Below are 22,436 nucleotides of genomic sequence, written 5' to 3'. Positions count from 1 at the left end.
GGGGACATGGCAAGAAGGCAGCCACTTACAAGCCAAGAAGAGAGGCTTCAGGAGAAACCAAACCTGCTGACACCTTGATCTTGGGCTTCTAGCATTCAGAACTGTAAGAAAATAAATTCCTATTGGTTAAGCCCCCCATTCTAAGATGTTTTGCTATGTAGTCCTAGCTGACTAATACACTGGACAAATGACTTCTTGGAGGATATGGACTCAGTCCTAATTCTCTACTACTCTTATGTATGCTCACGTTGCAGAAAGTCACATGTTTTTGTGCTGTTGCTGATCCTGTTCGTTCTATCTAGAAAATTATTTTTCTCCTTGTCTAGGCCTATTAACTCATCCCTTAAGTTTCAGTTCAAATGTCGTCTTCTCTGTGTTCTACTTAACCAACCACCCAGGCAGAATTAATCACTCCAACCCTGCACACAAACCTTGATCTTTTCATTTTTCATACTGAATGATAATTAGCCCTCTTTGAGACTTATAGAATGAGGTGGTAGAGGGAAGGCCTGCACCCTGGTCCCCCCAGTTTCTGGCCAGAACCTCACATTTAATAGGTGCTCAATACATGCTTGCAGATTTCATACGTTACACTTAGAAACCCATAAAATTTAAGACCTGGAAACCACCTTAATGATGATCTAATCCAGACTTTCATTTTACAAGTGAAAAAAATGCAGCCTGAAAAGGTTGTTTCAGGCAGATATTCCAAAGGAAATCACCACCGCTCTCCCAGTTAGAACAAAAAGGCATGTTGAAAGGTAGTAATTTTAGAGGATGATTGAACAATTGAAAAGGCATGAGCTCATAGAACTGAGAGGGGGAACATGCCGCAGACACTGGGTGGGGCATCTGAGGTTTGGAGACGGGTGGATGGCTGAGTAGAGCACCGAGCTGGTATGTCCATATCAGGACTTTGGAGCTCATCTTTCTCACATAAAATGAGGCGTTGGGCCTAGTGTATCTCTCTTTCTTTTTTTTTTTTTTTTTTTTGTTTTTTTTGAGACAGAGTCTCACTCTGTTGCCCAGGCTGGAGTGCAGTGGTGCAATCTTGCTCACTGCATCCTCTGCCTCCCAGGTTTAAGCTATTTTCCTGCCTCAGCCTCCCAAGTAGCTGGGATTACAGGTGGGCACCACCACGCCCAGCTAGTCTGTGTATTTTTAGTAGAGATGGGGTTTCGCCATGTTGGCCAGGTTGGTCTCAAACTCCTGGCCTCAAACGATCCACCTGTCTCGGCCTCCCAAAGTGCTGGGACTACAGGCATTGAGCCACCGCGCCTGGCCCAAGTGTATCTCTTTTAACTCTAAGCTTCATAACAAAAGGAAACCCCATCAGTGATCATTTGAACTTGATGTCTTCTTTTCTTTATTTGCATGTTGGGGGTAGCTGTGAGACCTGTATGCAGAATCTTCATGAGATAATAAGGAATGACTTGTCCTGAACATGCGGAGAAATATGTCTTCATACATGGATACCTCCTGACAATATTAGAGTACTTTAAGTAAAAACCACATAGGGGTGGAATGTTTAATGGTGTCTTCATGGCCTGGGCTGGTATCAGTACAACATATCTGTGGGTTGATCAGAGCTAGGATACCTGCAGGTGTCAAATTCTAGAGCCCTCAGCTTCCCATACTTTGTATGCCTAAGAAAAAAGAGAGGCTCTAGGGTTAGCAATTTGAAAGGACTTAATTATAGCATTAAAAAAAAAATCAGGGAGAGTGGAATGTTGAAAGCAGAAATGTCAAACTGTAAGTTGATTGTTTACATTGCCCAGGCCTGGGACTTCCTTTGTCTCTGCCATGGTGGAAACTTCCAAAGTGACTCAGTTTCATCTTATGTATGTTTTAGTGAAAGTGATAGATTTCCAGTTTCTCAAATTCTACTGTCCCCCTAAAGTACACAAGAATTAATGGGTAACTAATGAACACAGATTCTATGGTGCATCAAGCACAAATCATCCTCAGTGATGAGAAGAAAATTAAATTCCATAAGAATTACGGTTTTTCTAAAATTTAAAGGGGATGTAATAAGGAATGAGGAAAAAAGCTTTGGAAAAGCAAGAATGTCCCTCTATAAAGGGCATTGAAGCGAAAAAGGAAATGGCAGTGGGAAAGGAAGGACGGGGGTGGGAGCTGATGATTCAGCCTGAGGGGGCTGGGGTGAGTGCTGTGGGCAGGACTGCCTAAGTGTGAAGTGGGCGGGTGGTTATGACTAGCATTGAATGGGAGATAATTAAGAGCAAGTCGGTACCAGTAACTGCCAGGAAAAGGAAGGGAATATGTCCAGAAAAAGCAACTCTTTATTTCCATGCTGAATTAAAACACCTACCCATTTGGGGCTTGAGAATTTCACTCTGAAATGAAAAAATATTTGCTGTAAACAGAATGCAGATGATTGTGAAATTTTCCATGCTTTCTTCTAATGGTGTGGGGAAAAACAGATTCAAAATGGAAAACTGTGCAGGACGTGCTTTCTTAGAAAGAAATACATATTTTAAAATATCAGTTATTCTATAAAGGAAAAATTATTGCTGTTAAAAGTCATGCGCAACTTATCAAGTTTCAATTTGGGATCAGCTACAGGTACAAATATCTGGATCGTCTGTGAGAGAAAGAACTGAAAATGCACAGCTTCCATCGTCCTTTAAATAGCTTTCTGGATTGAAGAGCATTATAATTAAACCGCATCAAGTGTCACTGCAGAGAAGCATGTAAATTATGGGTCTGAGTGTGGGCAAGAAATGTTATTTGATTGCTTGACAATCAAAACCAGAAGATGTTCACATATGCATAACCCAGATTTGTTGTAATTATATCAGATGCAGAAGAAGTGGGAGGAATAGGTGTAGCTTTGAATTTAATAATCACTTGTTTATCTCTCTTTCAAATAAAAAAACTGTTTATAAATACTATAGGAACGCATATTCACAGAGTGGTTTTGTATAAGAAAAGATATATTAGCAAGCAATCAGTCCTTTCAGTGTATGTCCCAGAAATAGGTTGTGAAAAAAAAAATGGCCATGGATATCCTACAAAGACCCTCAAAATGCAGAAACTAGTTCATTTAACTGTCTGTCAAGTACTTTGCTTCAAACATCATGTCAGAAACGATGTTCACAAGGGCTCTGAAATCTACTTGTTTCAGTATTTTGCACTTCATTTTACCCAGGTCTCGGCTCTCCTGAAACTCCCCTTTCTCTCAAGATGAGAAGGAGTAGGTAGGAGATGCTCTCGGAATACTGCTCAGACAATTGAGAACTTTTCTTGCCTCTTAAAGAGGCCCAGAGGATGCCTCTTGGAAAGAAGCTGAGAATGTAATACCTTTTCAGCACCTCTACAAAGCGTTTGATACCCTCTTAGATAGCACATACAAGAACAAGCATAAACACTTGACTAGGAAACACACAAGCCTGAAAACTGTCAGGTTGAAAATGAAGACAGCACATTTTTTTACAATCCTTCCCCTTGTGAATACTAGGATCATAAATTATATACAATGATACGTGTATTATCTATGTAAATAAAATGATCCCATCTTCTGCAGCCCTCTTGGTTGACCTTTCCCTTAGCATTTAACTAAAAACTAATAGTAGTAGTAAATCTACTTAATAGATTTACTTAGAATAATACATCTTGCTTAATGAGAAATTTTCCTCCAATCCCCAGATTTCTGGAGGTTTTCCTTCCCTTGGGCATGTTTCATTCTAGATGCTTACTCCTGGCTTTGTGTAGCAGTTAACTTTCCTTTTTTTTTTTTCCATGGATCAGTGTGTAAAATATAGAATATATTTCAGAAAACTTAAGTAGTTTAAGAATGGGTTTGAGTGACTTTTCTAAAGTGGGAGATTTCTAGACAAATTTACACAAAGTACATCATCCCATAAAGAGGACCTCTAGATGCCAGTTGTAGAAAGACACTTTTCATCGCAGTTAAGGGGAAGATATTTCTATGGGTCAGAGATATCTAAGGGTGTTGGGATGCAATAAATCTCTCATTTCTGGGGGTGTTCTTAGCCACATGAATTTGAGATCTCCCAGAGGCAGCCCCTGAGATGAAGATTCACATACAAGTAGATTATCTGGCAGCTGATTTCAGGAAAGGCTGCAGGAAATGGGGAAGAGAGATAAGGAAAGGATCCCAGAAGTACAGGATATATGGTCAAAAGAGAGTCCACTGTGGTAACAGGAACCCTAATCCCACTTGAGAATTCTGGGGGCTGGTGTAAAGTACAGTCTTCTCCCTGTGGGTGGAGGGAGCTGGAATATTTATACACAAATTTCCATCAGTTGAGGAAAGCTGCTCTAGGAGGGCCATTTTAATCCCCTGACACTTCCTGCCTCCCCAGTGAGAGTGCACTAAAGCAGGAGCTGAGTGTTCAAGAAATCCTATAGCAAAGAAACGCTATGCTGCTGGCAGTTAGAAGCCAGGCTGGTACCCATTAAACTGGTGAGAGTGGAAAGACATGGGCCAGGGTCTCAGGAGCACCTGTTATAGTAGTGTAGCTGAGCCTTTATTATAAAGAGCATAAGATGTTTGTTTTACTTATTTCCTATCCCCCTTTTCCTTTTCTTCCTCCATGAATGCTTGCTTGTACACAGTCACTTTGGTAGAGGGTAGTCACTAGTAATTGATTAACTTCCTATGCTAATCCCAGGGCTGCCCATGAGATTGATGAGTTTGTTTTTCTTTGTCTTTTTCTTTTTTTCTTTGTTTTTTTTTGAGACGGCTTTTCTCTGTTGCCCAGGCTGGAGTGCAGTGGAGCAATCACAGCTCACTGCAGACTCAACCTCCCAGGCCCAAGTGATACTCCAACCTCAGCCTTCTGAGTAGCTGGGACCACAGACATGCACCACCATGCCTAGCTAATTTTTGTATTTTTTGTAGAGATGGGGGGTCTCATCATGTTGCCCAGGCTGGTCTCAAACTCCCGGACTCAAGTGATTCTCCTGCGTTGGCCTCCTATAGTGCTGGGATTACAGGTGTGAGCCACTGTGCCCGGCCTGTTTTTCTTTTAAAGAAAAATGATTCTTAGGTTATGCAGACCTCCTTGATGGTGTCCTTGGCCTGATCAAATGCAGACAACTTTGAGCATCAGAGATCCCACCTCCCACATACCAACCTTATTCATAAAATACCTCAGTTATGTTCAAGGCAGGTCAGATTTGAGAGACTGCCTCTCCTGCCCTCTCACTTTGGCTAAATCGAGTAAACCTTTCTCTCTGCTCCTAAATGCTGATGTGTCAATGTTAGGCTTACTGTACATCGGGTACACAAACCTAGATTCTAGGCTTCACTAACACTAGCTCAAAACCTGGGAGGACTAACATAGAAAGAGATTTTGGTATGATGACTCAAGGATTGAATCAAGCCCAAATATATGTGTTTATTGATTTTTCACAGCATTTGTCTTTAAATTGAGTTTGAATGACCATAGGCACTGTCACACTGTCTCCAGTTTGCCCCTGGTCCCATCACTTTCCACTGGCCAGCTTTTCGCATTTATCTAGCATGTCTGCTCTGGAGTTTGCCACCAGCAGGGAAATTCAAATCTAAGATGTTGAGCAGGTCTGGATAGTCTTGAAGACCATTGTCAACTGTGAAATTCTATGGCGTGATAACTAAATCATCACTAAAACCTCTTTCAGCAATAAAATACTATGATTTAATTGTATACTGTCTTTGTAATATGTTTGCAAGTTCCTTAAGGACAACAGTATAGGCCTATAAATAGTCTTGATTGATTAAAATGAAATTATGTATTTCTAAATGTTAATAAGTAGAACAATATTAATTTACACATTTACTGTGACTTCTATTATCATTTGCACTGTACAAGTGTAGCTTGAGCCAACACATCAGAATAGATTACAGAGAGAAACTGCTTCGCATTTCACAGGTTTGATTTAGGGTCTACAGTCATACTTCAGTGAATTTGTTAAGACAAGCATGAACATTGGTGCTCATCCATTTTGCCTTAGATTTGAAGGAAAGATGACCTTGGCAGAGAACATTTATACTGAAGCTTTTAAAAATTGGCCTTGCATTATGCGAAGTGCAAGAAGCCAGACACAAAAGGCAATCTACCATATGATTCCATTTATGTGACATTCTGGAAAAGGCGGAACTAGAGAGACAGAAATCCTGTCAGTGGTTTGCAGAAGGTGGGGAGAGGAGTTGACTACAAAAAGGCACAAGGCAGCTTTCTGGGGTGGTGGGAATATTCTATGCCTTCCTTGTGGTGGTGGTTATGTGACTGTATGCATATGTCAAATCTTATCAAACTGTAGACTGAAAAGGGGTAAATTTGCTGTATGTATGTATGTGTGTGTGTATATATATATGTGTATATATATGTGTGTATATATATATGTGTATATATATGTGTGTATATATATATGTGTATATATATGTGTGTATATATATATGTGTATATATATATGTATATATAAAACCTCAGTAAATCTGACTTTTTTTTTTTAAGTTTTTTTTAAGACAAAGTCTCTCTCCATCTCCCAGGCTGGAGTGCAGTGGTGTGATCTCAGCTCACTGCAAACTCCACCTCCCAGGTTCAAGCGATTCTCCTGCCTCAGCCTCCCAAGTAGCTGAGATTACCGGCATGCGTCACCAGGCCCAGCTAATTTTTGTATTTTTAGTAGAGACTGGGTTTCACCATGGTGGCCAGGCTGGCCTCGAACTCCTGACCTCAGGTGATCCACCTGCCTCGGCCTCCCAAAGTGCTGGGATTACAGGTGTGAGCCACTGTGCCTGGCCAATGACATTAAAAAAAAAAATGAAAACAAAACAAAGCAAAATAAAAATGCTCAGCCCTTGGGCAAGCTTCTTAACTGCTGCCACAGGGAAGTTTCCCCCAGCATCCTGGGAAAATCAGGTGAGGTTTAGATGCCCACTGAGATAAGAATGACATTTGGTTCTTCCTGCCTCTCAGTTCCTTCTTTTTAGCCATTATAAACCCTCCCTGCTCCTCAAATATGATTAAACAAGTCAATTGGGTGAAATATGATTCATTCTGTTGTTGCTCTCACCTTCCTTCAATGGTATCTGCCTTAGTCTTTTTACCTCCAGTATTTTTCCCTAGGCCCTATTTCAGAATTCACATTTTATTATTTCAACATATTTGTTCCTTTACTTGTTCAAAGAAGATTTACAGTGGCTTTCTATAATTTCCAAGCAAATTCCTAGGCTGTTAAGAACGATAATCTGATAAGAGAGATGGCATAGTTTCACCAAGCCTGCAGGCTTCCAAGATTCTACTTCAAAACCTGCAGGGCTTGTCTTCCCTGTCAAATTCATTTCTCTTTTCTTGAATTGCCTGTGCACAGCACATTCCTGAAGGACCTTGACCTAGATTCTCCCACCGTAGTTGGTAAGCCACTTTCTGGAAGCAGTAATATCTGAGGCAGCTGCCAAGGGCATGATCTGGGGGAGCAAGGCAGCACGACAGGGTGGCATGTGCCTTTTGCAATGTCCTTAGTTGACAAGAGAGAGCACTCAGGCTGCTCCATCCCCGGGGGTGGGGAGGAGGGGCGGGGGGGGGAGCGGGGGCTGGGGTGGAGGAGGGGAAGCATCGCTGCAGCATGATTATAAAAACCTGGGGCAGGGACGAAGTTCTTTACATCTCCGTCTCCCTGTAGCATCTGGCAGGTGCCCCTACCTCACACCAGGTGCTTGATGGTTGTTGGTTGATTATTGATTGGCCTCTACTCTTCTGTGCCTAGAAACTCCCTCCTCTGCTTCTTCCAAGTAACTCATACGCCTCCCTCATAATTCTGCTCCATATCCTAAACCTCCCAATTCAACCCTTCCCTCCCTACCACCCTGAATGTGTGCGCTAGGTATTCCTGCTTTGAGCTTCCCTAAGACCTTCTGTTTATAACTGTCATAGCCTAACCACTCTATATTTTAGTTGTATCTTGATTTGTCTGCCTTTTCCCTCTCCCATGCTCCATGCTACAGGAGGCTATGAGCCTATAGAAAGCAATAATTTTTTTTTATTTTTGGGAGATTTTTCCCCCTATCTGGAACATTATGTATGCTTTATAAATGTTTGCCAATGAATAAATAAGAATTTGCTCATGCTGCTTTTGGAAGTCTGCTTTATCAGTTGGAAATTATTTTAACTGCAAGTAAAAGAAACGTTTGCTAACTTCATATTGGCTCATACAGGCAGACATTTCTTTTTCTGGCCTAAATAAAAAAGGTTTTGTCAAACTCTACTGTTCACCTAGGCCAGTGACTTTACAGATGAGAATCAGGGAGGTTGCATGATGACTTGCACCTTAGTTTTAAAGGTGCAAGAGGTCAGGGCAGTGGCTTTATGATTCACTTGGCCTTTACTTTATAAGATAGTTTTTTAAGCACCTGACTTTTGAGATTAGGTGGAAAGGAGTTGTATTAGTTGCATTGGTTCTCTATTGCTGTGTAGCAGACTGCCATAAAATATAGCAGTGTAAAACAACATGAATTTACTATCTCACAGTTCTATAAGTCGGGAGCCTGGTCACTGCTTGCCTGAGTTCTCTGCTTAAGAAATCACCAGGCTGCAATCATGGTGTCAGCAGAAGCCGAATGTCATGTGAAGCTCAGGGTCCTCTTTCTTTTTCTTTTCTTTTCTTTTTTTTTTTTTGAGATGGAATCTTGCTCTGTTGCCCAGGCTGGAGTGCAGTGGTGCGATCTTGGCTCACTGCAAGCTCCGCCTCCCGGGTTCACGCCATTCTCCTGCCTCAGCCTCCCAAGTAGCAGGGACTACAGGCGCCCGCCACCATGCCCGGCTAATTTTTTGTATTTTTAGTAGAGACGGGGTTTCACCGTGTTAGCCAGGATGGTCTTGATCTCCTGATCTCGTGATCCGCCCACCACGGCCTCCCAAAGTGCAGGGATTACAGGCCTGAGCCACCGCACCCAGCCTTCAGGGTACTCTTTCAAGCTCACTGGTGGTTGGTAGAATTCAGTTCCTAGGGCTAAGACCCTGAGCTCCTAGAGGCTGCTTCAAGGCAATTGGAAAGATAGCTGCTTGCTTTCTTCCTGGAGGCCAATAGAAAATCATCTCTCTTTTCAAAGGCTCACCAGATTCTGTTAGGCCCACCCAGGATAATTTCCCTTTTGATTGACTCAAAGTCAACTGATTAGTAACCTAATGATGGGGGTGATATCCCATGGTTCTGCCATACTCAAGGGAAGGGGACTATATAGGACACACATACCCGGGGGCCATCTTAGAATTCTGCCAATACAGGAGTGATGACAGCTTCCCAGAATTCTCCTTTATAGAGTTCTGCTTATATCTCATTGGCCAGAATGAGATACATGAGATTACATGGCTGCCACTAGCTGCAAAGAAGGATAGTAAAGTGAATATTCAGCTTTCCCAACTTTTGTAGTGAAGCTGAGGACAGGAGAGGAGCTGGGAATGGGTGTTAAATTAGTCTATCAACAGAGTTTCCCACACAGTCAAATCCTTGAGACACCTTAATTATAGAATGGTAGATCTGAAAGAGGATGTGAAGTACATTTAATATAACTTTTCTATTTTCTAGATGATGAAGCTGAAAAGACCTCATGTGAAGTTCTTGAAATCACATTATTTGCGCTAAGCAAAATCTAGTAACACTAGAATATTCAGCTTCTCTGGTAGTTTAGTTTATCAAACCTCCAAGAGAAAAGGTATAAAAAGGTGTAACACAAATAGTAAGCTAATGAACAAATAATTTCTTTTGAAGTTGATCATGGATCTGTTTTTTTTTAATCATATAAAGCTGGTTTTTACATTCTAATCCTAACTGATGGTGCCATGAGCTTGAACAAGAGGGACAACTGGTAAAGCATAGGTGCAGAAGACAAGTCTGCATGAGTTCCGAGAAAGAAGTCACAACTCCCAGCTCAGGAAACCAGGCAAAATATCAAAGCAGGCCCAGAATTTGAGATAGGCATTAAAGGACAGATCAGATGTGACATAGGAAGATCAGTGGAGGATATTCCAAGTAGATGGAAAAATGGAAACAGAAGTAGATGTATTAAACTACAAAATGCATAAAAGCAGAGATCAACTCCATTCAACCAGGCTGGTTCCAGAGAAATCTCTTAAGGGGCTGCTTTACCAGTCTAGAACAGAGGTAAAGCTGGCTTGCTCTAGGAGGGTGACCATGGAAATGAAAATGATGACAGTGAATGTGGAAAGAAAGTTGTATGTGTTGATTGGACAGGACTTTCCACTGAGTCTGTAAGTACAAGTCTTACTCATCTCATACTCCCAGGCCCATATCCAGTGCCTGCACATATCAGATACTCAATAAATGCTTTGAGTAGAATTTATGGGTGATTTGGTACAGAACACAAAAAAATAGATCAAGGACTCTGAGTTGGAGCTCAAGAGTGAGTACAGAACTGAATAGAGGGTGTGGAGTTCAGTTTTAGACATGTTGAGCTCCAGGTAGCCTCCTGGATTCCAGGGATGATGTCTAGAAGACAATAAGGGAAAGACACCTGAGAAACAGATAGGTATGGAAATGTATATTTGCAGTCTGCAGCTGTGCAGGCAAAAAGAAAAGGCAGTGGAGAGCTTTAGGGAATGCATACATTTAAGAGGGAGGAAGAAAATGAGTAGATGGGGAATTGACTAGAGAAAATGGGCTGTGCGTCCAAGAAAACAAGGGATAGGAGTGTCTAGAAGCTAGTGACCAGCAGTTTCCGAGCACGTGGGCTCAGGAGAGAATGGGGGAAAACAGATTGCAAGAATTTCAGGAGTGAGTTGAGAGGGAGAGCCGACGGTTGGTATCAAGTTCTTTTAAAAGTTTAAGGATGGCTGGGTGTGGTGGCTCAGGCCTGTAATCCCAGCACTTTGGGAGGCTGAGGCGGGCGGATCACAAGGTCAGGAGATCAAGACCATCCTGGCTAACATGGTGAAACCCCGTCTCTAGCAAAAATACAAAAAATTAGCCGGGCGTGGTGGCGAGTGCCTGTAGTCCCAGCTACTTGGGAGGCTGAGGCAGGAGAATGGCGTGAACCTGGGAGGCGAAGCTTCCAGTGAGCGGAGATTGCGCCTTTGCACTCCAGGCTGGGCGACAGAGTGAGACTCCATCTCAAAAAAAAAAAAAAAAAAGAAAAAAAAAAGAAAAGAAAAAAAAAGTTTAAGGATAAGAGAAAAATCAGCAGTGACAGAATCAAGGGAAGGTGGTTTGGAGTATTTGCTTTACAGGATGAGGGTGACAGAGAGTATCTGCCTGGAAGAATTGGTCGGAAGAAAAGGGGAGAGTGAATATAAAAGAGGGAATCCTGCTGAGGGGTGAGGTGACAGGGTCTGAGGTTGCTGGAGGGTGGAGGAGGCACTCATTGTCCTCTGAAGTAAGAGGAGGAAAAGGGGAGAGAGAAGGAGAGGGAGGCTTTCTGCCTTGTGCTTTCTGTCACTAACTGGCTCTGGGGAAGCTTGGGTCATTATGTAACCTCCCTGAATCTCATCTGTAAAGTCATTGGCCTAGGTGAACACTGGAGTTGGACAAACTATTATCTTGCCTCAGACATTTTACTCGAGACTCCCTCCCCTCGCTTGCTGTCCTCATCCAATCAGTTACCTGTAATGGTGATTATAGCAATAATAGCAGAACCATTTATTGCATGTCTCAAAATATCCAATTGGGATGAACCCCCAAAAGCTACATGGTGAAGAAATTGTTCAAATGTAACTTGAAGGATAGTGTGCATGTGTGGTGTGTGTGTGCGCGTGTGTAAAATGTCTTAGTTCAGTTTATCTAAAATCTTATAGGAATGCTTATAATGGCTTTTCTATTCTTTCTTCTATTTCTTTCCTGAGTTCAATCAACTTTTATTTTATTTCTTCTTTTTTTATGTCTGTTTCTGTACCTAGTTTCTGAATGTGTAATTTGAAGTGTTTTTCCATGTTCCCAAGTGCTTGAGGACGTTGAATTCAGTTCAGTGTTGTGTTAGTTTTCTTCCACTTTGCCATTATTTGGGGGAGGAATTTTTCTCAGTTGAATTGCTTGGGTTCTTTTTATTCTGGTGATTTTGCTTAGATGAAGACTTTGATCCGCCTTTCTGTGGACAGGGCTGGAAGGGTTGGGGTGGTTGCAAAATTCCTAGGTCAAGAGCGCCCTCTTCTGTCAGTGTGGCAAAGTATAACTTCTTTTTCTTTCTTTTTTAAAATTGAACTTATTATTATTATTTATTATTATTATTTGGAAGGGGAATGATGGGAGAAGGGGCTGGGCTACCTTCAGTTTTGCAAGGGAAGAGATTCTTGCAGGTTCTTCAATTTCCCTCTCACTGCAAGATTTCCAGAGCTCGCCTCTAAAAGAGGGTCCCTTTGACCCTTTTTACCAGGATGCCTTACTTATCCTTCCAAGACCATCTCCTCTCACAAAAAGTGGGACAAGACCATCTCCTCGCATGCAGCACATATGGTTAAGTCCCTTCCCAGTAGTAAGTAGCCTGATCTACCAGTGTGCTTTTCAGTATTTTCAAACTTAGCGCCGACGTTCTCTCTCTGGTGGTTGTTTCAGATCAATCTAAGGTCCACCACTAGCTTCCCTCTTGTCTACTCTGCACGGATTTTCTCCAGCTGACTTTGTTGGTTCCTGAAGGGCTTGTATTAGGAGTGGAGGAGGCAACTTGCTGGGGTTTGGTGTTTATTTTTCTATTTACAGTTAATTTGAAATTTGGACATTTCATGTCTTCTAGTTATGTAGAAGACATGGGTTTTATGTAGTTTCATTTGATCTTCTTTATTGTTTTGGGAGAGAGTATGTTCAAACTCAGATTTATATCACCACCATTTTCTTGGCTTCTCAGAATTTTTCCATAACATATACTCTAAATTTGTCTAATTTGCCAATAAGATATATAGGAGTTCATTGACTCAAATTATCTCAGGGAGCTCTTTAAGCTCTTACATTAATTAAGAATTGAATTGAGCTACTGGTGAAGGAGATTCCCCTAAACAAATTTGGGGCTTTTCTTGTGTAACAAAAATTTCAGAGGTAGGTGGTAGCGGGCATTGGCTCAGCAGTGAAGACAGACCATGTTGATATCTCCATGACATCTTAACCTCTCCCTCACAGGTGCCTGTGATTACAGGAGGGTTGCTCTACCTCCAGTGTGTCATGGCTATAATCCAGTCAAGAAGAAGGGCAGAGTACAAAGGGTAAAAGGCACTTGTTAACTGTCAGCTCCATTTTAAAGGTCTTTCCTGAAAGCCCCATCCAAAAACTTTTGCTTATACCTGGGTTCAATGACAACCTCTAGCTGCAAAGGAGAATTAGAAATGTAGTTTTTGTTTGTTTGATTTGTAGTAGTTGATTTGTTTTTCCTGAGCACATTATAGCTCCCCCTCAAACACACACACACAAAATGGGGGAGATGTTAGTAAGGATAGGAGAAAAAAGAATATTGGATAGGCACTAAAAATTCCCCTCTGCAACTCTCCAAGTCCAGGAACAGAGAGTTTCTGGTCTCACATCATTGGCTCAGAGACAATATCCAGACCAATGATTACCAAACACCTTTGGGAGGTTCTGAGAGAAGGCTGTGTCACGACAGGTAAGAGAATTACTGGAGACTGACCAGCTGCATGGAAAAGGACTGAAATAAAACAAGGCTAAACACTGCCCCGGGTTGATTTACCCTTACTTTGGGAGTCAGCCTAAAAGCTAATAAATATGTTTTTTTTTTTTAAGCAGCGTATTAGGAATTCCCCAGTTTGTAAACAGGGACACAGTTCTTCTCTTTTCCCTTCTTTCTCTAAATGGAAATAATTCTATAATGAAACAAATTATTTAGGAGTTAAAGCCTAGTGGAAGATCATCTGTTCTCACCATGGAAAACTCTAGTGGATTAATTCATTCCCAAAACACTCAGCCATCTTACCTGCTACACAGACACACACACACACACACACACACACACACACACACACACACACACCTATAGAGACTTCTATATATGATACCCTCATTGATATATATCTGTTATAATTGTTGATAACTGTTAACTCAGCTATGTGAAACTAGTTTTGTAGTTTTGTAGGTACACCAATCCTTTAAGATTCATTTCAGAAAATAGAGAAACAGACACTTAAAAATCTCCATCCTCAAAGACAAGCACTCAAGTTTATAAACACACCAATTTATTTACTCCAGCAGACAGAATCGTGGCATATAATGATTACGTTTTGATCCACAGAAAACTCTCGGGAGATGTGAATGTCTGGCTCTACCCCTAGCTAGCAGTGCTATTTGGGGAAGCAACTTAATCTCTCTGAACATCATTTCCTTGTCTATAGAAGAATGGAATTTGTATGACTGTTTTTGTCAAGTTATAAGATCCTATCATTTTGGAGATTCTTATGTTCAATTAGCCTTTGTTCAGTGTCTGCTATGTGCTAGGCACTAATCTATGTACTATGGACGTCTTATGGGGTAGTAAAGCACAATGGGGAAGATTTCAAGCCAACTCAAAGGAGAAGGTGAATAAAATATCTAGGAAGAAATTTAACCAAGGAGATGTGCAACATGAAAACTATAGTTAATAACAATGTATTGTTTACTTGAAAATCACAAAAGAGTAGATTTTAAGATTTCTCGTTACAAAAGTAATTATAAATAGGTGAGGTAATACATATGCTAATTAGCTAGGTTTAGTCATTCCACAAGGCACACATATTTCAAAATATCATGTTGTACACTGTAAATATATACAATTTTTATTTGTCAATTAAAAACAAGACAAAAAAGTGCTATAAAGCAAAACAAAACAAAAATTTAATCAAGGAGGTAAAAGACTTGTACACTGAAAACTACAAAACATTGCTGAAAGAAATTAAAGAAGACCTAAATGAATGGAAAGGCATCCCATGTTCCTGGGTAGGCCAACTTAACGCTGTTAAGATGCCAATACTACCAAAGCAATCTGGAAAAGCTGATACATATGGAATTATGAGGAACCCTAGATAGGCAAAACAATCTTGAAAATAAATAACAAAGTCAGAGGCTCACACTTCCTGATTTCAAAAGTTACTATAAAGCTACAGTAATCAAAACAGTGTGGTACTGGTATAAAGATAGACACACATAGACCAATGGAGTAGAATTTAGGGTCCAAGTGGAAACCTGTATTTCTATGGCCAAATGATTTTTGACTAGGGTGCCAAGTCCAGTCAATGGAAAAACAGCAGTCTTTTCAGCAAATGGTGTTGGGACAGCTGGATTTTCACATGCAAAAGAATGAAGTGTGACCCCAACCCCACATCGTATAAAAACATTAACTCAAAATGGATCAACAATCTAAATATAAGAGCTGAAACCACGAAAGTCTTAGAAGACAACATAGGGGTAAATCTTCATTACTCTGGATTTGGATATAACCCTGAAAGTATGAGCAACAAAAGAAAAAATAGATAAGTTGGACATTCTCAAAACTAAAATGCTTCTTGCATTAAAGGATGATATCAAGAAATTAAAAAGACAACTTATAGAATTAGAGAAAATATTTATAAATAAAAATATCTGAGTGGGGCGGTTCCAAGATGGCCAAATAGGAACAGCTCCAGTCTACCGCTCCCAGTGTGAGCGACGCAGAAGACGAATGATTTCTGCATTTCCAACTGAGGTACCGGGTTCATCTCACTGGGGACTGTTGGACAGTGGGTGCAGGACAGTGGGTGCAGCACACCGAGTGTGAGCTGAAGCAGGGCGAGGCATCACCTCACCCAGGAAGTGCAAGGGGTCAGGGAATTCCCTTTCCTAGCCAAGGAAAGGGGTGAGAGACGGCACCTGGAAAATCGGGTCACTCCCACCCTAATACTGCGCTTTTCTGACAGTCTTAGCAAACGTCACACCAGGAGATTATATCCTGCGCCTGGCTCGGAGGATCCTACACCCACAGAGCCTTGCTGATTGCTAGCACAGCAGTCTGAGATCAAACTGCAAGGTGGCAGCGAGGCTGGGGGAGGGGCGCCCACCATTGCTGAGGCTTGAGTAGGTAAACAAAGCAGCTGGGAAGCTCGAACTGGGTGGAACCCACCACAGCTCAAGGAGGCCTGCCTGCCTTTGTAGACTCTACCTCTGGGGGCAAGGCATAGGCAAACAAAAGGCAGTAGAAACCTCTGCAGACTTAAATGTCCCTGTCTGACAGCTTTGAAGACAGTAGTGGTTCTCCCAGCACCCAGCTTGAGATCTGAGAACGGACAGACTGCCTCCTCAAGTGGGTCCCTGACCCCTGAGTAGCCTAACTGGGAGGCACCCCCCAGTAGGGGCAGACTGACACCTCACACAGCCGGGTACCCTCTGAGACAAAACTTCCAGAGGAACGATCAGGCAGCAACATTTGCTGTTCACCAATATTCGCTGTTCTGCAGCATCCGCTGCTGATACCCAGGCAAACAGGGTCTGGAGTGGAACTCTGGCAAACTCCAACAGACCTGCAGCTGAGGGTCCTGACTGTTAAAAGGAAAACTAACAACTGTTAGAAGGAAAGGACATCCACACCAAAACCCCATCTGTCCATTACCACCATCAAAGACCAAAGGTAGATAAAACCACAAAGATGGCGAAAAAACAGAGCAGAAAAACTGAAAATTCTAAAAATCAGAGCGCCTCTCCTCCTCTGAAGGAACGCAGCTCCTCACCAGCAACAGACCAAAGCTGGACAGAGAATGACTTTGACGAGTTGAGAGAAGAAGGCTTCAGATGATCAAACTTCTCTGAGCTAAAGAAGGAAGTTCAAACCCATGGCAAAGAAGTTAAAAACCTTGAAAAAATATTAGACGAATGGCTAACTAGAATAACCAATGCAGAGAAGTCCTTAAAGGACCTGACAGAGCTGAAAACCATGGCACGAGAACTATGTGACAAATGCAGAAGCTTCAGTAGCCGATTCAATCAACTGGAAGAAAGGTTATCAGTGATGGAAGATCAAATGAATGAAATGAAGTGAGAAGAGAAGTTTAGAGAAAAAAGAATAAAAAGAAACGAACAAAGCCTCCAAGAAATATGGGACTATGTGAAAAGACCAAATCTCCGTCTGATTGGTGTACCTGAAAGTGATGGGGAGAATGGAACCAAGTTGGAAAACACTCTGCAGGATATTATCCAGGAGAACTTCCCCAATCTACCAAGGCAGGCTAACATTCAAATTCAGGAAATACAGAGAACGCCACAAAGATACTCTTTGAGAAGACCAAAACCAAGACACATAATTGTCAGATTCACCAAAGTTGAAATGAAGGAAAAAATGTTAAGGGCAGCCAGAGAGAAAGGTTGGGTTACCCACAAAGGGAAGCCCATCAGACTAACAGCTGATCTCTTGGCAGAAACTCTACAAGCCAGAAGAGAGTGGGGGCCAATATTCAACATTCTTAAAGAAAGGAATTTTCAACCCAGAATTTCGTATCCAGCCAAACTAAGCTTCATAAGTGAAGGAGATATAAAATACTTTACAGACAAGCAAATGCTGAGAGATTTGTCACCACCAGACCTGCCCTACAAGAGCTCCTGAAGGAAGCACTAAACATGGAAAGGAACAACCGCTACCAGCCATTGCAAAAACATGCCAAATTGTAAAGACCATTGAGGCTAGGAAAAAACTGCATCAACTAACGAGCAAAATAACCAGCTAACATCATAATGACAGGATCTAATTCACACATAACAATATTAACTTTAAATGCAAATGGGCTAAATGCTCCAATTAAAAGACACAGACTGGCAAATTGGATAAAGAGTCAAGAACCATCTGTGTGCTGTATTCAGGAAACTCATCTCATGTGCAGAGACACACATAGGCTCAAAATAAAGGGATGGAGGAAGATCTACCAAGCAAATGGAAAACAAAAAAAAGCAGGGGTTGCAATCCTAGTCTCTGGTAAAACAGACTTTAAACCAACAAAGATCAAAAGAGACAAAGAAGGCCATTACTAATGGTAAAGGGATTAATTCATCAAGAAGAGCTAACTATCCTAAATATATATGCACCCAATACAGGAGCAACCAGATTCATAAAGCAAGTCCTTAGAGACCTACAAAGAGACTTAGACTCCCACACAATAATAATGGGAGACTTTAACACCCCACTGTCAACATTAGACAGATCAACGAGACAGAAAGTTAACAAGGATATCCAGGAACTGAATTCAGCTCTGCACCAAGCGGACCTAATAGACATCTACAGAACTCTCCACCCCAAATCAACAGAATATACATTCTTCTCAGCACCACACCGCACTTATTCTAAAATTGACCACATAGTTGGAAGTAAAGCACTCCTCAGCAAATGTAAAAGAACAGAAATTATAACAAACTGTCTCTCAGACCACAGTGCAATCAAACTGGAACTCAGGATTAAGAAACTCACTCAAAACCACTCAAGTACATGGAAACTGAACAACCTGCTCCTGAATGACTACTAGGTACATAACGAAATGAAGGCAGAAATAAAGATGTTCTTTGAAACCAATGAGAACAAAGACACAACATACCAGAATTTCTGGGACACATTCAAAGCAGTGTGTAGAGGGAAATTTATAGCACTAAATGCCCTCAAGAGAAAGCAGGAAAGATCTAAAATTGACAACCTAACATCACAATTAAAAGAACTAGAGAAGGAAGAGCTGTCACCTTCAAAAAGCTAGCAGAAGGCAAGAAATAACTAAGATCAGAGCAGAACTGAAGGAGATAGAGACACAAAAAACCCTTCAAAAAGTCAATGAATCCAGGAGCTGGTTTTTTGAAAAGATCAACAAAATTGATAGACCACTAGCAGGACTAATAAAGAAGAAAAGAGAGAAGAATCAAATAGACACAATAAAAAATGGTAAAGGGCATATCACCACTGATCCCACAGAAACACAAACTACCATCAGAGAATACTATAAACACCTCTATGCAAATAAACTTGAAAATCTAGAAGAAATGGATAAATTCCTCGACACATACACACTCCCAAGACTAAACCAGGAAGAAGTTGAATCTTTTACTAGACCAATAACAGGCTCTGAAATTGAGGCAATAATTAATAGCTTACCAACCAAAAAAAGTCCAGGACCAGAAGGATTCACAGCCGAATTCCACCAGAGGTCCAAGGAGGAGCTGGTACCATTCCTTCTGAAACTATTCCAATCAATAGGAAAAGAGGGAATCCTCCCTCACTCATTTTATGAGGCCAGCATTATCCTGATATCAAAGCCTGGCACAGACACAACAAAAAAAGAGAATTTTAGACCAATATCCCTGATGAACAGCGATGCAAAAATCCTCAGTAAAATACTGGCAAACCAAATCCAGCAGCACATCAAAATCTTATCCACCATGATCAAGTGGGCTTCATCCCTGGCATGCAAGGCTGGTTCAACATATGCAAATCAATAAACGTAATCCAGCATATAAACAGAACCAAAGACAAAAACCACATGATTATCTCAATAGATGCAGAAAAGGCCTTTGACAAAATTCAACAGCCCTTCACGCTAAAAACTCTCAATAAATTAGGTATTGATGAGGCGTATCTCAAAATAATAAGAGCTATCTATGACAAACCCACAGCCAATATCATACTGAATGGCAAAAACTGGAAGCATTCCCTTTGAAAACTGGCACAAGACAGGGATGCCCTCTCTCACCACTCCTATTCAACATAGTATTGGAAGTTCTGGCCAGGGCAATCAGGTAGGAGAAGGAAATAAAGGGTATTCAATTAGGAAAAGAGGAAGTCAAATTGTCCCTGTTTGCAGATGACATGATTGTATATCTAGAAAACCCCATCGTCTTAGCCCAAAATCTCCTTAAGCTGATAAGCACCTTCAGCAAAGTCTCAGCATACAAAATCAATGTGCAAAACTCACAAGCATTCTTATACACCAATAACAGACAGAGAGCCAAATCATGAGTGAACTCCCATTCACAATTGCTATAAAGAGAATAAAATACCTAGGAATCCAACTTACAAGGGATGTGAAGAACCTCTTCAAGGAGAACTACAAACCACTGCTCAATGAAATAAAAGAGGATACAAACAAATGGAAGAACATTCCATGCTCACAGATAGGAAGAATCAATATCATGAAAATGGCCATACTGCCTAAGGTAATTTATAGATTCAATGCCATCCCCATCAAGCTACCAATGACTTTCTTCACAGAATTGGAAAAAACTACTTTAAAGTTCATATGGAAGGAAAAAAGAGCCCGCATTGCCAAGTCAATCCTAAGACAAAAGAACAAAGCTAGAGGCATCATGCTACCTGACTTCAAACTATACGACAAGGCTACAGTAACCAAAACAGCACGGTACTGGTACCAAAACAGAGATATAGACCAATGGAACAGAACAGAGCCCTCAGAAATAATGCTACATATCTACAACTATCTGATCTTTGGCAAACCTGACAAAAACAAGAAATGGGGAAAGGATTCCCTATTTAATAAATGGTGCTGAGAAAACTGGCTAGCCATATATAGAAAGCTGAAACTGGATCCCTTCCTTACACCTTATACAAAAATTAATTCAAGATGGATTAAAGACTTAAATGTTAGACCTAAAACCATAAAAACCCTAGAAGAAAACCTAGGCAATACCATTCAGGACATAGGCATGGGCAAGGACTGCATGTCTAAGACACCAAAAGCAATGGCATCAAAAGCCAAAATTGACAAATGGGATCTAATTAAACTAAAGAGCTTCTGCACAGCAAAAGAAACTGCCATCAGAGTGAACAGGAAACCTACAGAATGGGAGAAAATTTTTGCAATCTACTCATCTGACAAGGGGCTAATATCCAGAATCTACCAAGAACTCAAACAAATTTACAAGAAAAAAACAAACAACCCCATCAACAAGTGGGTGAAGGATATGAACAGACATTTCTCAAAAGAAGACATTTATGCAGCCAAAAGACATATGAAAAAATGCTCATCATCACTGGCCATCAGAGAAATGCAAATCAAAACCACAATGAGATACCATCTCACACCATTTAGAATGGCAATCATTAAAAAGTCAGGGAACAACAGGTGCTGGAGAGGATGTGGAGAAACAGGAACACTTTTACACTGTTGGTGGGACTGTAAACCAGTTCAACCATTGTGGAAGTCAGTGTGGTGATTCCTCAAGGATCTAGAACTAGAAATACCATTTGACCCAGCAATCCCATTACTGGGTATATACCCGAAGTATTATAAATCATGCTGCTATAAAGACACATGCACACGTATGTTTATTGCAGCACTATTCACAATAGCAAAGACTTGGAACCAACCCAAATGTCCAACAATGATAGACTGGATTAAGAAAATGTGGCACATATACACCACTGAATACTATGCAGCCATAAAAAATGATGAGTTCATGTCTTTTGTAGGGACATGGATGAAGCTGGAAACCATCATTCTCAGCAAACTATCGCAAGGACAAAAAACCAAACACTGCACGTTCTCACTCATAGGTGGGAATTGTACAATGAGAACACATAGACACAGAAAGGGGAACATCACACACCGGGGCCTGTTGTGGGGTGGGGGGAGGGGGGAGGGAAAGCATTAGGAGATATACCTAATGTAAATGACGAGTTAATGGGTGCAGCACACCAACATGGCACATGTATACATATGTAACAAACCTGCACGTTGTGCACATGTACCGTAGAACTTAAAGTATAATCATAAAAAACAAACAAACAAACAAAAAATATCTGACAATGGGTAAATATCCAGCATATATAAAGAACTTAATAAAAAAAAGATAAGCCACCCAATTTTAAAATGGGCAAAGGATTTGAATAGATATTTCTCCAAATAAAATATAAAAATAGCCAATAAGCACATAAAAATGTTCTACAACAATAATCCTCAGGGAAATGTGAATCCAAATCACAATGAGATACCTATTTGCACTTACTAGAGTGGCTATAATAAAATAAAAAGAAAATAAAAGAAGTATTGTGAGAATGTGGTGAAATTGGAACCCTCATACATTACTAATGGCAATGTAAAATGGTGCAACCACTGTTGAAACAGTGTTTTGGTTCCTTAAAAAGCTAAGCCTAGAATTACTCCCTTTCCCAGCAATTCTGTTCTTAGGTATATACCCAAAAGAATTAAAAACAGGGATTGAACAGATACTTGAATGCCAATGTTCATAGCAGCTTTATTTACAACATCCAAAAGATGAAAACAACCCAACTGTCTGTGACCAGATGAATGAAAAAATTGAATGTGATATATATACACAGTGGAATGTTATTCAGCCAAAGAAATGAAGTTATGTACATGTTACAACGTGAATGAACCTTGAAAATATTATGCTAAATGAAATAAACCAGAAACAAAAGGATAAATATTGTATGATTCCACTTACATGATATATCTAGAATGGGTGAATTCATAGAGACAGAGTAGATTAGAGGTTATCAGGGACTT

General features: G+C 40.8%; 2 annotated features.

The window, feature by feature from the left end:
• Nucleotides 1,576-2,775: an enhancer, noted in NCBI's record as "P300/CBP strongly-dependent group 1 enhancer chr2:191655893-191657092 (GRCh37/hg19 assembly coordinates)". NCBI's record gives its function as "activates an origin of replication core promoter dependent on BRD2, BRD4, P300/CBP, MED14 and CDK7 cofactors, with strong dependence on P300/CBP, by STARR-seq in HCT116 cells {active_cell/tissue: HCT116}" and the evidence as "EXISTENCE:reporter gene assay evidence [ECO:0000049][PMID:35650434]".
• Nucleotides 11,915-12,278: a transcriptional cis regulatory region, noted in NCBI's record as "candidate enhancer chr2.5899 targeted for multiplex CRISPR interference". NCBI's record gives its function as "positively regulates HIBCH gene expression with high confidence in K562 cells {active_cell/tissue: K562}" and the evidence as "EXISTENCE:mutant phenotype evidence [ECO:0000015][PMID:30612741]".

This window comes from Homo sapiens, chromosome 2 (assembly GCF_000001405.40).
Source record: "Homo sapiens chromosome 2, GRCh38.p14 Primary Assembly".
NCBI classification, from domain to species: domain Eukaryota; kingdom Metazoa; phylum Chordata; class Mammalia; order Primates; family Hominidae; genus Homo; species Homo sapiens.
Note: the sequence above shows the minus strand (reverse complement) of the source record. Positions and strands in the feature narration are given on the sequence as shown.